Genomic DNA, 16,591 nt, shown 5'->3' with positions numbered 1-16,591 from the left:
CAGTGCTGTGAGGGTTGGTCCCTAGACTGCAGGACACTCAACCACTAAGGAACAAGAGCTATGTACGGGAGCCAAGTAAGGACAGGAAAAGGGAGACTATTCCCTCTCACCAGAGTGGCTTTCCCCAAGGCTCCGCCCCACTGAGGAGACTCTTCCAAGAAGCAGAGAAGACCACCTCGGTGGGACAGTGAAGGCTCTCTGGACCCCAGCCTCCAACTCACTTCTTCCTGCGGATCTTGGGCTTCTTCACCGGCCGCAGATAAGGGTTATCGATGATGTTCTCCTCCCCATTCCGGCTACCCGACAAGGAGGGGTTCTGCTGCAGGACAGAGGTGTTCTCCTTCTCGGCTCCAGAATCCTCCTTTGAGCAAAAGCCAAAATAAAGCACAACATCAACAGCATAAGGAAAGAGATCATGCCTATAATTGGAATGACCATTAGCATCCTCTAATTGAGAAATTAGAACCTGGGAAGCACCTTCTTTCCAACATTCCTATCTCTGCCCCGATGAAGCGAGGACCAGGCAGGGGCTGGCTATGAAGGGAAGGCAAGACTAACAGCCTTGACCCAAGAGAGCACACAACAGAGTCCAGAGTTTTGAACCTCTGGAGAAGGCAGGGACAGGGGTTAGAAAGAACAGACACCTGGGAGGGACAGGAATCAAATTCAGATGCCTCAGGGAGGATGCCCGGCCAGGTGGGGAGATGAAGAAGAAAAGTGATCCTGGATGCCCTGCATGACTGGGAGATACAGGATCAGAACACATCATCTGCATAGCGCATCTCCTGGCCAAGCTAGATAGACTAAGTCAGAACAGATTTCTCCCTCAAATCCTCACATTTCTGGTACTTGCAACATGGTACCAACAATCACATCCCAGCACAGGCTAGAAACTTCTTGAGCCTTGAGGGTTCCACTAAGGGACGCAGAGCCAGCAGGTACCAGCACATGCACATCATTGGTAATGCCTATCTGCAACCTATGAGGCAGGGTTTGTTTGTTTGCCTGTTTGAGATGGAGTCTCCCTGTGTCACCCAGGCTGGAGTGCAGTGGCGTGATCTCGGCTCACTGCAGCCTCCGTCTCCGGGGTTCAAGCAATTCTCCTGCTTCAGCCTCCCAAGTAGCTGGGATTTCAGGCATGTGCCATGACGCCCGGCTAATTTTTGTATTTTTAGTAGAGACGGGGTTTTACCAGTTGGCCAGGCTAGTCTCGAACTCCGAGGCAGGGTTTTTTACTGTTCATTTTTTTTTTTTGAGATGGAGTCTTCTTCTGTTACCCAGGCTGGAGTGCAGTGGTGTGATCTCAGCTCACTGCAAGCTCCGCCTCTGGGTTCAAGAGATTCTCCTGCCTCAGCCTCCCAAGTAGCTGGGAGTACAGGTGCCTGCCACCACATCCCGCTAAGTTTTTTATTTTTAGTAGAGACGGGGTTTCACCATGTTAGCCAGGATGGTCTCGATCTCCTGACCTCATGATCTGCCAGCCTTGGCTTCCCAAAGTGCTGGGATTACAGGCGTGAGCCACCGCGCCCGGCCGCTTTACTGTTCATTTTTTGAGAAAAATGTGTTTTTTCAGAAAAGTTTGTAAGTTCACATGTAATCAGTATGATCAAAATTCTTAAAAAGTCACAGTTGTGTATAGACACAGAAAAAAAGGTAATATGCTGACATTTTAAAAACTGTTCTGGAAGTATGAGCAGTCAGTTATCCTGTCTTTATTCACAGCCTCCTTTATTTTCCACGTTTGGTCGGGCTGCGCCCCCTGGTGATGGGCCAAGGGGAAGAAGTTCTTCCACGGGGAAGAAGTCATTGAGATTCCTGTTCTGCAACTTGAGGCTAAAGAGGCCCTCACTGACCTCAAGCAGGAGAGGCTGCTGTCAAAACAGACAGAGGATGCCATGACCGGATGGCATGAAATAAATAGCAGGTTCCCCTGACAGGACAGCTGGCCTAGGGCATGGACACCAGTCTCAGGTTTAATGAGCCAGAAGAAACCAGATCACATCTAGGTTCCCCTGCGTGCCCTCTCCCTGTCCTATCAATTGTTCTCTTCAAAGACACAGTTCCATTGGCCCAGTATCAGGGCCTGTGTGTTTTCCCTCTCCAGCACCCAATCCAGTGGGACCACAAGGTGACCCAGAGCCACTGGGGCCTTCCAGAGACTCTTGAAAGCAAGTGCTGCAGGACCAACCTAGTTCAGGCCAGACCAGGTGCCGGAAAAAAGGTCTGCCCACAACCAGACCTCCCTTGGGTATCTGGCATCCAACCTTTCTGAAGTTCCTAATGGTACAAATGAGTAGTATCTCCTCGCTCCGTCCATCCTATCATTTCTCTACAGTAGACAGCCTATCTTCAAAGTTACTGGAAGCTCACTTCAACCGTGCCTTCAATGTTTTCTGAGATACACATGGAGGTAACACTGTTAGAGGTGCTGAAAACGCCAGCCTCAAGACACTGCTGGAGGGTCAAGAGGCTCCCTCCATTCGGCCCACCGTGGCTCACAAGAGCAGGACGGCAGGCTTCCTTCTCCCAAGCAGGCCTCATAGAAATGTCCCCTTCAGGGACAGGCAGCACTGAGATGGTTAGGGGTGGGGAAGTCAGCCAGTTAAAAAAAAAAAAAAAAAAGTAGGCCAGGCGTGGTGGCTCACGCCTGTAATCTAGCACTTTGGGAGGCCAAGGCAGGTGGATCACCTGAGGTGAAGAGTTCGAGATCAGCCTGGCCAACATGGTGAAACCCTGCCTCTACTAAAAATACAAAAAAATCAGCCGGGCATGGTGGTAGGCGCCTATAATCCCAGCTACTTGGGAGGCTGAGGCAAGACAGTCGCTTGAACCCGGGAGTTGGAGGTTGCAGTGAGCCGAGATTGTGCCACTGCACTCCAGCCTAGACGACAGAGTGGGACTCTGTCTCAAAAAAACAAAAAAGTAAAGTGTCAAACTGACCCAGAGATTTGTAAAAAAAAGTGGGAGCAGAATGGTCCGTCAGGAGCTCCCTGAATTGCCTGTGAGCTCTAGCAAGGCCTACACCCTCTGTGGTGACTGCATCCAGTCTCCCAGCTCTCAGTGCCATCTCTACGCCAACAGCTCCCTGGAGTACAATGCCAGCCCTAACCTCTCCCGACTTCCAGGCTCATGCAGCCAGCTGCTCACTCAGCATTTCCACTGGGGTATCAGGTAGGCAGTTCAGACTTCAGGCACCTAAGTCTGAATTGGGGACCTTCCCCTGTGGTGTAAACGGCGCTTCTCAGTCCCTCCCATCACAAGTGATGGCAACTCCATCCTTCTAATGGCTCGAGTCACAAACTCTGTGGTCATTCTTGCTTGTTTTCTTTCTTTTATTTTTAAACAGGGTCTCACTATGTTGCCCAAAACTGGACTCAAATTCCTGGGCTCAATCTTCCTGCCTCAGCTTCCCAAGTGACTGCAACTATGGGCATGCACCACCACACCTGGCACACTCCTTTTCCTTCACTGACATCCCATACCCAATCTGTTAGCACAGCCTCTTGGACTTACCTTCAAAATTCAGGCAGGCACTGACCACTTCCACCACCTCTGTGGCAACCACTCTACTTGGGCCCACCACTGCCTCTCGCCTAGGCTATAGCGACAGCTTCCTGACTGATCTCTCTAGTCCGTTCTTACCGAGCCATCAGAGTGGTGCTTTAAGAAGCTCAGAAACATCCCTCCTCTGCTCCACGCCCTCCCACAACTCCCATCTCTCTTAGTTAAAAGCCAGCTCTTAAAATAGCCTACAAGGCCCTACCCAATCTGACCCTCCCTCCCACAAGCCACTCACTATTCCACAGGGCCTTTGCACTGCCCATTCCCTCTGCCAGAACACTCTTCCCCAGATATCCACATGGCTCACTCCCTCACCCATTTCAAGCTCCTGCTCAGATATCCCCTTCTCAGTAATGCCTACTCCGAGCACCCCACTTAAAAACTGAAGACTCCTCCTCACCCTGGATCTTCCCCTACTGTTTTTCCCCCACACAGCACTTTCATTTCTGATATACTATGCAACGATTTAGTCATATATTGTGTTTGGTATCATTCTCCCACAGCCAAACTCTGCTCCTAAAAGGCAGAGGTTTTCTTTGTTTTTCTCACTGCTTTATCCCAAGCAGCCAGAAAAAATATCTGGCACATACTAGGTGCTAAATAAACACTGGTTGAGTGAGTGACTGGTATATTTTTCATAAAAGAGTAAAAGCTTAGATATCTGGGTTGGCTGCAGAGAGCAGCTGGTTCAAATGTGTGAGAAAAGAATCTATTATACATGAATTTAAATTATACATGAATTTAAAATGAATAGCTCCTTTATGTTCAAGTACATGGAGAAACTAGAACCAGGTTAAATAATGTACTGCCTAACAACAGACCTTGAGAGGTGCACTCTCATCAAGAGATAAAATAATAATTTAAAATACCTGTTATTGGCTGGGCGTGGTGGCTCACGCCTGTAATCCCAGCACTTTGGGAGGCTGAGGCGGGCGGATCACGAGGTCGGGAGATCGAGACCATCCTGGCTAACACGGTGAAACCCCGCCTCTACTAAAAATACAAAAAAATTAGCCGGGCGTGGTGGCGGGCGCCTGTAGTCCTAGCTGCTGGGGAGGCTGAGGCAGGAGAATGGCATGAACCCGGGAGGCGGAGCTTGCAGCGAGCCGAGATCACGCCACTGCACTGCAGCCTGGGTGACAGAGCGAGACTCGGTCTCAAAAAAAAAAACAAACAAAAAAACCAGTTATTTACTTTGCTATAACAATGTCTGTAAATGGTAAAGACAGAAAACAACCTAAGTGTTCATGGGGGACTAGATAAATTAAATGGTTACATCCATACAATGGAAGATAAAGTAGCTGTGAGGAACGATGCGCCTCCTCCCTTACAGATGTGGAATGACCGCCAAGATACAGCCAGGAAAAAAGCAAGAAGAGAACAGTTTGTGATCTGCTGTTTCAGTTCAAAATAACAATTTAAAAAAATGTCTCTAGAAGGCTACATAAGAGGCTGGTGAGACAGTTGCTCTGTGGGAGGGAAAGTGGGTAACAGGGAACAGGATGGGAGGGATTGTCACCATACATCTTTTTGCACACTCTGCATTTTGAAACATATGATTGTATTTCCTAGTCTAACAAAATAACATTAGGTCCAACTGACTGTAGTAAATTGTCACTAGAATCTTTGTCTTGGAGTCATTTGATTTTATTTTTCACAGAAGGGCATATGGTTAGATAGCCTAAAACAGCAGGGGAGGGAGCAGTGTGTGCTAGGAGCTGCCACATGCCAGGCACCTGATAGATACCAGCTCTGTCTCACGCTCCCCCTGTCCCTTGAGGTAGGTGTTTCTGTTTCTACTTACAAGAAAATAGACTAAGGCGTAAAGTAACACAATCACGGTCACACATGTGGCAAGCAGCACAGCCTGGATTTGAAGCTAGGCAAGTCTGACTCTAAGACTCAGGCCTTCCTACACTCCTGCTGTCTGCAACCCTGGCTTGGCCTCATGGTATTCAAGAGTCCTCAGGCGGTTGCTGACACTCTTTAGGTTCAATTACCACCATGACCTCACATCACTACGGGACCGTCAGTGAATGCATGTCCAAGCCCTTTAACTATATTGTACTTACAAAGGTATGATGACGTTTGTTTACATGATTCCTCTTTCTCATAAGGTGAACCTCAACTTAGTCCATGACCCAATCACCATATCTCAGCCCAAATTAACAGAAGCGTACAATAACAATTTCCTCTGCTTTATTTAAAGCCATGGTCTCCCAGCCCTAATTCTGAAAGGAATAATTCAATATTTAAAAAAAAAAAAAGTATATCCAGGCCGGGTGTGGTGGCTCACGCCTGTAATCCCAGCACTTTGGGAGGCCAAGGAGGGTGGATCATGAGGTCAGGAGTTCAAGACCAGCGTGACCAACACGGTGAAACCCCGTCTCTACTAAAAATACAAAAATTAGCCGGGCGTGGTGGTGCGTACCTGTAATTCCAGCTACTCAGGAGGCTGAGGCTGGAGAATCGCTTGAACCCAGGAGGCGGAGGTTGCAGTGAGCCAAGATCTTGCCACTGCACTCCAGCCTGGGTGACGGAGCGAGACTCTATCTAAAAAAAAAAAAAAAAAAAAAAAAAAAAAAAAAGTATGTCCAGGCAAATAAGACCTTCAGCAAATAGAGATGACACAGGCATATTCCACTAGCAACCCAGGGTGGCTGGCTGCCATTTGGGGTATCACATCTTAGAGAACATAAGGGATGCTCAGTCCAACTACAGCCACTAAGGCATCCAAACTAGTGCTGATTTTAAAGGATGGTTGAATATGGCAACCTGACTATATAACCCTATTAGCCTTAAGGGCATTCCAGCTTCTGGCGGTTCTGCGATTGTACTTGGCACTTTCTCCAAGGGTGCAGGAACAAGAGGGGGCTCTTATCCTTTCACTCGCTGAGTATGACACACCGGTGAGCAGAAAAGAAAGTATACCCTAAAACAAACTAGGACTAGAACACCTCCTTGCCCACCTTTGTCTCTGAACCCACATGTTGTCTCCTATCCTGGGTATGAAATGTCCAGAAGAAGGCTAGTCCCTCCATTTGGTCACGGGCCCATCCCCTCTCGTCTACCAAATGACATCATTCCCAGACTTTTCTTTCTCTCCTGTATCCATTTTCCCTTTTGACTAGATCATTCCCAACAGCATACAAACACGTTATTTCTTTTATCTTAAAAAATAAAAACACGAAACACCTCTCTTAATTCCTTCATTTTCCCCCTTTTAGTTACCACTGCATCACTCTCCCTCCCTGTACTGCAGGAACACCACACGACTTTCTGTGCCAATGGAAATGTTCAATATTTGCACTGCCTAGTAGAGCAGCCACTGGCCGTATGTGGCTATCAGACACTTGAAATGAATGTGGCTAGTGAGGTTAAGGAACTGATTTTCAGTTCTTTTCTTTTGAGACAGAGTCTTGCTGTGTCGCCCAGGCTGGAGTGCAGTGGCGCGATCTTGGCTCACGCCAAGCTCCATCTCCCAGGTTCACGCCATTCTCCTGCCCCGGGCTCCCAAATAGCTGGGACTACAGGCGCCTGCCACCACGCCTGGCTAATTTTTTTTTTGTATTTTTAGTAGAGATCGGGTTTCACCATGTTAGCCAGGATGGTCTCGATCTCCTGACCTCGTGATCTGCCCACCTCAGCCTCCCAAAGTGCTAGGATTACAGACGTGAGCCACCGCGCCCGGCCTTTAGTTTTATTTCATTAATTTAAATTTAAATACCTACACGTGGCTAGTGGCTGCTATAAGGGACAGCACAAGTCTATACTCACTGACTCCTCTTCTCTCCTCCCATTCTCTCTGAATTTACTCCAGGTCTTCGCTCTCATTCTTACTGAAATGGCTCTCATCAAGGTCACAAATGACATCCACACTGCCAGATCTAATGGTTGAATTCTCAGTCCTCCTACCATTGGAGCCACCCACAGCTTTGGACACAGCTAATTGCTCTTTTCTCCCTGAAACACTTACTTCCCTTGGCCTCCAGGACACAGCCCTCTTCCAGTTCTCCCACCTCCATGCTGGTTCTTCCTCATCTCTTCAAGCTCTACACACAGCAACAGCTCCAGGACTCAATGTGCCTCCTCTTCTTATCCTCACTCATCCCTGGAAGAGCTCATCCACGCTCATGTTTTTAGACACGACCTACAGGCTGCTGGCTCCCAAATACGCATCTCCTGCCCTAACTGCTCCTCAAACTCCAATTATATATCCAATTCTTCACCTGACATCACCGCCTGATGTCTAACAAGCATCTCAAACTTAACACATCTATGTTTAAGACACGAACATCAACTCCTGACTTCCCCCACACACCTGTTCTACCCGGTGGTTGTTCCTATCTTGGCTGAAGGCAATTCCATCTTTCCTATTGTTCAGGCAAAAAACCTTACCGTTTTCTTTAACTCTCATATCTACTCTATCAACTGGCTCTGCTCTGAAAGTGATCTAGAATCTGACCAAATGATCTAGGTGACCACATCTCCTTATTTTTGCTCCTCCTACCATCTCTCAGTTTACTGTGACAGCATCCTAACTGGTCTCCCTGCTTCTGCCTGCCCTCTATAGCCCATCCTCAGCACAGCAACCTGACTGACCCTGTTAGCAAACCTACCTTGGATCCTGACCCTCCTCTGCTCAACATCTCCAGTGGGTCCACCTTACTGAGTAAATGGCAAAGTGTCTAATCTAACCTTTAAGACCCTGTAAGATCTGACTCCCCGTGGGCCCTCTCGGACCTCATCCCCTACTGTTCTCCTCCTTGTTCACTCCACTCTGGCCACCCTGATGTCCTTGCTGTTCTTCAATACAACAGGGGAGCTCCTGCCTCAGGGCCTTTGCATCTGCTGCCCCTGCTGCCTAGAATGGCTCCACCCCCAGACATGTCCATGCCTTGTTCCCTTCCGGTCTTTACTCAAATGCCCCCTTCTCGGTCACTCTACCTAATACTGCATCCCTCCCATTCCCATCCCCACTTCCTATCTCCTCATTTATTATTTTTCATTAGCCCCATGAGGACAGGGAATTTTGTTTATTTGGCTTCCTACTAATATCCCAGCACCTGGAACTGTATTTGTTGAATGAACGAGTGAATCCCCAGGACACGGATGTGTCTCTAAGCAGGAGATTGGGTCACATCTGGATCATCACGCAAGCCCTTATGCAGGCCCCTAACAGAAAGCCAAAGAGACCTGAGGTCGATCATGTCCAGGTCCCAGGGTGACAGACTGAGGGCAGTGTGCGACAGTTTGGGGGATACTCTGAGGTAGGCAGAAGGTGGAACCCACCATGCTGATATGAAGAGCAAGGTTCTCTGTGTCTGTCTGTTCATCCTGCTCCGAGGAATCTGTCTCTTCCATTTGTTGCATCTCCAGTTCAGACGGAAGAAGAGCTGTCAGGTAGGGGATGGTGAAAGGTCTGGCAGCAATCACTGGCGAATTGGAAGAGAGGCATGAGTCCACTGTCACAGAGACCTCGCAGCTGGCTTAGAGTCCTAGAGCCTCACAACAAATCAGTGAGCAGCACCAGAAGATAATACTAGCTAACTCGCTCCAAGTACTTACACAACAGGCCAGGCAATGTTCTACGGGCTTTACTCATGTTATCTTTCATCCTTGCTCCCATCCTATTAAGTACGATTAGGCACAGAGAGGTGAAATGACTTTCCCAAGCATGCTAAAAATGGCAGAATGGGATTCTAACTCAAGCAGCATGACTTCAGAATCTACTTTTTGCCAAGTACAACTGAGATAAGATGGAAATGAGGCTATAGATAGAATCCTAGCAACACATAAGTTTTGAGATCCTGCACCCAAGGTCAGTTAAACCCCTCTAAGCTTCACTTCCAGAGCAGGAATATTGATTCTTTTACCCTGAAGGACTCAAGTCCAAAGGCTGGATTTGAGCACTCTGCATATATGCATGTCCACTGAGCTGTAAGACACTCTGGTCAATGAGAGTTCTAGCTCTTCCAAAAAGCAATGAGGATGAGAGGAAGAAATTGAATAAAAAATAACATTAAAAGAAAGAAGGCCGGGTGTGGTGGCTCATGCCCATAATCCTAGCACTGTGGGAGGCTGAGGCAGGAGGACTGGTTGAGCCCAGGAGTTTGAGACCAGCCTGGGCAACATGGTGAAATCCCGTCTCTAGGAAAAATAAAATTAGCCAGGTATAATAGTGCATGCCTGTAGTCCCAGCTACTAGGGAGGCTGAGGTGGGAGACTCATTTGAGTCCAGGAGGTCCAGGCTGCAGTGAGCTGTTTGTGCCACTGTACTCAAGACTGGGCGACAAAGTGAGATCCTGTCTCAAAACAGAAAAAGAAAAAGTCTCTGTGTGTACTTCTATGGTAGAATGTGACTGTTAGAAAATACTCTAGAATTGGCTGGGTGTGGTGGCTCATGCCTATAATCCCAGCACTTTGGGAGGCTGAGGCAGGCAGATCACTTGAGCTCAGGAGTTCAAGACCAACCTGGCCAACTGGGTGAAACCCCGTCTCTACTAAAAATACAAAAAATTAGCTGGGTGTGGTGGCTCCTGCCTGTAGTCCCAGCTACTTGCTGAAGCAGAAGAATCGCTGGAACCCGGGAGGCGGAGGTTGCAGTGAGCAGAGATTGCGCCACTGTATTCCAGGCTGGATGACAAAGCAAGACTCTGTCTCAAAAAAACCCACAAAAACTCCAGAATTATTTTTGCTGTGGGTCAGATGTGGGGTCCTGCAGTAAGAGCTAGGTTTGAATGATGTCTACTAGCCATGTTCCTTGAGGAAGTGACTTCATTTCTCTTCTCTTGTGCCTCATTGAAGGGTTCCTATGAAGGTAGTGATATATCAGTTCCCAACTCAGAGGCTCACAAGAGGATTTAATGAGATAATGTATGGGAAATGATGAGCACAGTATCTGGCACTTAACAACCGGCAGCTGCTGTTATTCCAGAGCCAGGCACACAGCGGGCGTTCCACAGGAGCTTGCTGAATGAATGAATCACCCAAACCAACCTCCCTCACTCACATTTGTAAAAACTGAGGTCTTTGGAAATGAAGTAGCTTGGTCAACATGGCCAAATAGTGCTGAGATGCCAAGTTAAATGAGGTGGGACCTACGAGGGAACATCACGATGGGCAACTGGCCCCTGATGCCAATGTTCTTCTACTACCTGGGCTGCCACCAAGTGTCTCTGATGCCTAGGCCTAGGCTACCCTCAAGGTAACTCTATGGACCTCAAGCAGCCAGTCCCAACAGAGACCATTACTGTTTTGGAGTCGTCAGTTAAGGACAGACTCTTAAGACCTGGGGAAGGGAGCCAGAAATCTGAGAGGCAAGCTGTACCCAAGGGAAGGACAAAAGCTTATTTGTTTCTTCCTACCATGCTGAGAGAAAGAAAAGATAATGTGAGTGTTTCAAATAAGACAGGGTCCACACAGTGGGGCAACTCTCACATGGAAATGTGCTGACGTCATCTTTGAAAAGACTCTGAGTCTCGCCTGTCTTGGCCATGAAACGGGTAAGTGCCCGCTCCACATCGCGCCTCTGGGATGCAGCCTTCTCCCGCAGGACCTGGTAGTCTGACACGGGCTCACGGTACGTCTACGAAGAGAGCAGCAAAGACACTGGGGTGATGCCGAAGTATCATTCTGCTTTCATCAGCTCCCTGGCTTGCTGTTGCTATGCCCTGTTCTCTAAAATGACCCAATACCAGGCCAGGCACAGTGGCTCACACCTGTAATCCCAGCACTTTGGGAGGCCAAGGCTGGTGGATCACCTGAGATCAGGAGTTTGAGACCAGCCTGGCCAACATAACGAAACCCCGTCTCTACCAAAAATACAAAAATTAGCTGGGTGTGGTGGTGGGCACCAGTAATCCCAGCTACTTGGGAGGCTGAGGCAGGAGAATCGCTTGAACCCAGGAGGCGGAGGTTGCAGTGAGCCGAGACTGCATCATTGCACTCCAGCCTGTGCAGCAGGAGCGAGACTCTGTCTCAAAAAATAAATAAATAAATAAAATTAAATTAAATGACCCAATACTATTAGTTAGAGCCAAGATCACCAAAGCACAGTAGAAAGGTGGAAAAACAATGTAACTACATTAATATTCATTTCTAATTAAAAATTAAGAAATGTACAAATATTTACTGTAGAGATTGTCTTGGAGCCTTCATTCAGCTCCCATGACAGATGGTCTCGGGTCTAAGAGACGCATCGTGAAGAAAGAGTGGGAGTGCCCCCAGGGAAGCCCTGATGGGGACCACAGGTTCCATCAGCGCAATGTGACCTCCTGCAGTATGGGAGTGGCTGCCTATGTGGACTTGTGGATTATACCATCCCATCTTATTAAATCAATCCTCACAATATGGATACATTGTTCCAAAAAGATTCCCTCAAAGAAAGAGAGGCTGAAGATCTTATTATACGTGCAAGTGACCAAGAAAACGGCAGGCTGCTACTCTTCCTCCTAATTATGAGCTTGCTGGCAATCAAGTTATGGAGTGAAAATGATTGAGATCAGAATGAGAAATGAGCCAAAACTTTTTATTTTATTATTTTTATTTTTTGGAGACAGAGTCTTGCTCTGTCACCCAGGCTGGAGTGCAGTGGCGCCATCTCAGCTCACTGCAACCTCCACCTCCTGGGTTCAAGCGATTCTCCTGCCTCAGACTCCTGAGTAGCTGGGACTACAGGCACGTGCCACCATGCCCAGCTAATTTTTGTATTTTTAGTAGAGATGGGGTTTCATCATGTTGGCCAGGCTGGTCTCGAACTCCTGACCTCAGATGATCCACCCACCTTGGCCTCCCAAAGTGCTGGGATTACAGGTGTGAGTCACCGCGCCCAGCCGGAAAACATTTTAATTGGTAATGGCAACGGTGACATTTTAACAACGACCAATAAAGTAACTACTCTTCATGATACTGAGATACCATTTTTTTTTTTTTTTTTTTTTTGAGACAGAGTCTTGCTCTGTCACCCAGGCTGGAGTGCAGTGGCGGGATCTCTGCTCACTGCAAGCTCCGCCCCCCGGGTGCATGCCATTCTCCTGCCTCAGCCTCCCGAGTAGCTGGGACTACAGACGCCTGCCACCACTCCTGGCTAATTTTTTTGTATTTTTAGTAGAGACGGGTTTCACTGTGTTTGCCAGGATGGTCTCGATCTCCTGACCTTGTGATCCACCCGCCTCAGCCTCCCAAAGTGCTGGGATTACAGGCTGAGATAGCATTTTTAAAGAAGGCACCTGGAAATGTTTCTTTGTTGTCACCATCAGTTCAAGTGTGTCACCTATACAGTTCTCACATCTGTACTTAAACAAAGAAACAGAATTTTCTGACGTGTTAAAAATCTTCCCAAAAGGCTGGGTGTGGTGGCTCACACCTGTAATCCCAGCACTTTGGGAGGCCGAGGCGGATAGATTACCTGAGGTCAGGAGTTTGAGACTAGCCTGGTCAACATGGTAACACCCGGTCTCTACTAAAAATACAAAAATTAGCCAGGCGTGGTGGTGGGCACCTGTAATCCCAACTACTTGGGGGAGGCTGAGACATGAGAATCGCTTGAACCTGGGAGACAGAGGTTGAAGTGAGCCGAGATCACACCACTGCACTCCAGCCTGGGGGACTGAGCGAGACTCTGTCCACCCCCCACAAAAAAACCCCAAAACTTCCCAATAATAAAATGAGTGGATTTTGAACATATTGTACTTGTTAAAAACATTAAAATGCAAAATCTTGTAATGATTCCTAAGACAACTTTTGGCACTCAATAAATTAGAAATTTAATAGAAAATTTTCAACCAAATTCTTTGGATAATGAGTAAATGAGGATGAAAAAAATTAGTTTTATGATTTATTAAGAGCAGCCAATGATGTTACATATGTTTGTGATGTACCATTTTCAACTATGAGAGCCATTAAAGTATCAAAATAAACTAATCTTAGATTCTGACCTCCAACTTACTATTCCATCAAGTATTAAACCAAGATTTCTAGGCTGGCATGGTAGCGTGTGCTTGTGGTCCTAGCTACTCTGCAGGCTGAGGTGGGAGGACTGCTTGAGCCCGGGAGTTCAAAGCTGTAGTGCCATGATTACACCACTGCACTCCAGCCTGGGCAACAGAGCGAGAACTCCACCTCTAAAAAAAGACTGAGCACAGTGGTGCATGCCTGTAATCCCAGCACTCTGGGAGGCCAAGGTGCAAAGACTACTTAAGGCTAGGAGTTCAAGACCAGCTTGAGCACCACAGAAAGACAAAAAACCTGTCCCCATCTCTATAAAATAACAACAACAACAAAACAAACAAGAACAACAAAACAAACAAAAACCCTATGATTTCAAAAAATAAAAAGCAGAGGCAATTGCTCCCGCTAGAAAAGGTTATAGGTTTCCTGAACATTTTAAAAGGGTAAGATTATCTTTTAATGTACATTATTTTGTACAATGTTACATTATAATATTCACATAAATAAGCAAACATATACTGGAGTATGTACCCATGCCTGGGTGAACTGCTTGCGCCCAGGAGTTTGAGACCAGCCTGGGCAACATGGCGATATCTTGTCTCTACAGAAGATACAAAAATTAGCTGGGCATGGTGGTGCACCCCTGTAGTCCCAGCTACTCGGGAGGTTGAGGTGGGAGGATCACTTGAGCCTAGAAGGTCGAGGCTGTGGTGAGCTGAGATCGCCCATTGCACTCCAGCAGCCTGGGCAACAAAGTGAGACCCTGTTTCAAAAAAAAATGTTACAGATAGGGATATACTATATAAAAGAGTTAAAGAATGTTATGGGTTGAACTGTGTCCCCACAAAAAAACATTTTTGATATGTCCTAGTACCTCACAATATGACCTTATTTGGAAATAGGGTCACTGCAGATGTAAGCACAGTGAAGATGAGGTCTTACTAAGGTAAGGTGGGTCCCTAGTGCAATATGACTAGTGTCCTCCTAAGAAGCTGGCCACAGGAAGACAGAGATAGAGAATGCCATGTGAACTTGGCATAGCTTTAGCCATAGCTTTTGTTAAAGGGAATGTAATTTTGTCTAGTTCAGAGGGTTTTAAAGATTGTCTTGGCCAGGCACGGTGGCTCATGCCTGTAATCCCAAAACTTTGGGAGGCCAAGGTAGGTGGATCACAAGGTCAGGAGTTCGAGACCAGCCTGGTCAATATGGTGAAACCCCATCTCTACTTAAGAAAAAAAAAAAAATTAGCCAGGCTTGGTGGCAGGCGCTTGTAGTCCCAGCCACTTGGGAGGCTGAGGCAGGAGAATCACTTGAACCCGGGAGGTGGTGGAGGTTGCAGTGAGCTGAGATCGCACCACTGCACTCCAGCCTGGCAACAGAGCAAGACTCTGTCTCAAAAAAAAAAAAAAAAAAAAAAAAGATTGTCTTAACCTAAAAGAGTAACAGAATCGAAACTGAAGATTTAAGCTAAGTAAAAAAGGTTTGTAAAGGGTTGATCGTGTAAAAATTCTGTGGGTATCAACAAGTTGGCTAAGATTTAAAAGAAATTATTTAGCTTTTTTCTGTAGGCTAAAACATTAAAATCATACTGATGTGGGGCCAGAATCTGGACCCACGTGTCTGAATAACAGGGTTTTCTTAGAAAATTGACCTACTGTTTGGTGGAAAATTGTAAAGGGTTCTAAAAAGTTTATGAAAATCTTACTGTATGGTCAAACTAATTAAAACTGGGTAGAGATATAAAATTTTATTTAAAAAACTAGCTTTAACATTAAAGATGCGCTAGTACAAATATGAAATTTGTTTTTCTCTTCTGAAGATGATTTTTATGTAATGTTAAAAGATAATGAAAGGGTTTTCTTTTCTCCTTTGGGTGAATGGCAGGGAAAAAAAAGAGGAGAGGGAGAGAAGAGACAGATTCAGTTGGCCTCATGCTATCTTCATCGAGTCTTGTTTGGAAAGCTAAGTCTCCTCTAACAGAGTAAAAGTTTTTCTTTACAAAAAAATTTTTTGGAGTTATCATTTTGGCTAAACGAATGACTTATGGTGACCTGGGATTCTATTTTGTGATATCCAGTGTTTTAAACCTTTGATATTTGACAAACTTTCCAAAATCCAATTAAAAATTATGTCTCTTTCTAACCTTTTAGATATTAGGTCCTCTAAAGCCCAAAAATGATTTGGCTTATCTGATACAAAATCATACAGGAGGCATTGTCAAATATGAAATGGTGTTTGGCTTTCTTTGGTCTATATTTGTATAAATGTTATTGGTATATGTTCCAAAATTACATAAAACTTCTATAATTCTAATATGACTTAGTGTATGTTATCAGTAATAATTATAATGATTATGTTAACAGATTGTGTGCCACAGAGGTAACAAATTTCCTTGCCAATTGTGCCTTTAACTGTGGCTGCCCTAAAATGTTTTTGTCATACACTTGTCTCATTTTGGTCCTCTTTAAAAGATGGTTTTATAATCAGCTATAAAATTTAACAGGTGCTAATAAATGCAGGTTTCTGATTAATAACTCTGGAGATTGTGACATTAGAATAGAGGAAAAACTTTCAAATAGAAGAGTGAATGGTGTTTGGTTTACTTTAGACTGTATTTGTATAAATATATTATTAGTATGTGTCCAAAATTATGGGAAACTTCTATAATGTTGATATAGTTTAGTGTACATTAATAATTATAATTGCTATGTAAAATTGTTGTATGCCACAGAAGTAACCAAAATTCCTAGTCAATTGTAGCTTTAATAGTGGCTATAGACTTTTGTCATCCACAGACATTTTATCTTGCTTTGGTCCTTTTCAAAATGCAGTTTATAATCAAATATAGGACTCTAAGTGCAGGTCTCAGATAACTTTAAGAACTGTGCTATTGGAATAGAGGAAAAAAACAAACTTCTAGGACTCTCACGGAGAGCTAATGTGTTAAACATTGCTAAACCTTTTGTTTTCAGAGTCAAGAGAAATTATTTCTTTAGAACTATTTGCAACTTTTATCATGTGAGTAAAATAAACTCCTGTGAACAAAATTTACAGCATATTGTTCCTCTCTACCTGATTT

General features: G+C 45.7%; 1 protein-coding gene across 10 annotated transcripts in view; it reads right to left on the bottom strand.

Moving 5' to 3' along the window:
• Positions 1-16,591, bottom strand: part of TAF8 (TATA-box binding protein associated factor 8) — a 36,939-nt gene that overhangs the window by 10,002 nt on the left and 10,346 nt on the right. For 3 of the 10 annotated variants that reach the window (XM_047418177.1, NM_001438580.1, XM_047418175.1), the window contains exons 6-9: positions 11,002-11,149; positions 8,854-8,996; positions 5,993-6,114; positions 222-361 (exon numbers count right to left, since the gene is read on the bottom strand). In XM_047418177.1, coding sequence (XP_047274133.1) covers positions 247-361; positions 5,993-6,114; positions 8,854-8,996; positions 11,002-11,149 — 528 coding nt within the window. In that variant the 3' untranslated portion in view covers positions 222-246. Of the gene's footprint in view, positions 1-221; positions 362-5,992; positions 6,115-8,853; positions 8,997-11,001; positions 11,150-16,591 lie in introns of those variants that run through there. The other 7 variants (NM_001410907.1, NM_138572.3, NM_001410906.1 and 4 more) reach the window with 3 other exon arrangements.

The sequence above is a fragment of the Homo sapiens genome, chromosome 6 (assembly GCF_000001405.40).
Source record: "Homo sapiens chromosome 6, GRCh38.p14 Primary Assembly".
Lineage (NCBI taxonomy): Eukaryota > Metazoa > Chordata > Mammalia > Primates > Hominidae > Homo > Homo sapiens.
This window is presented reverse-complemented; position numbering and strand designations above follow the sequence as displayed.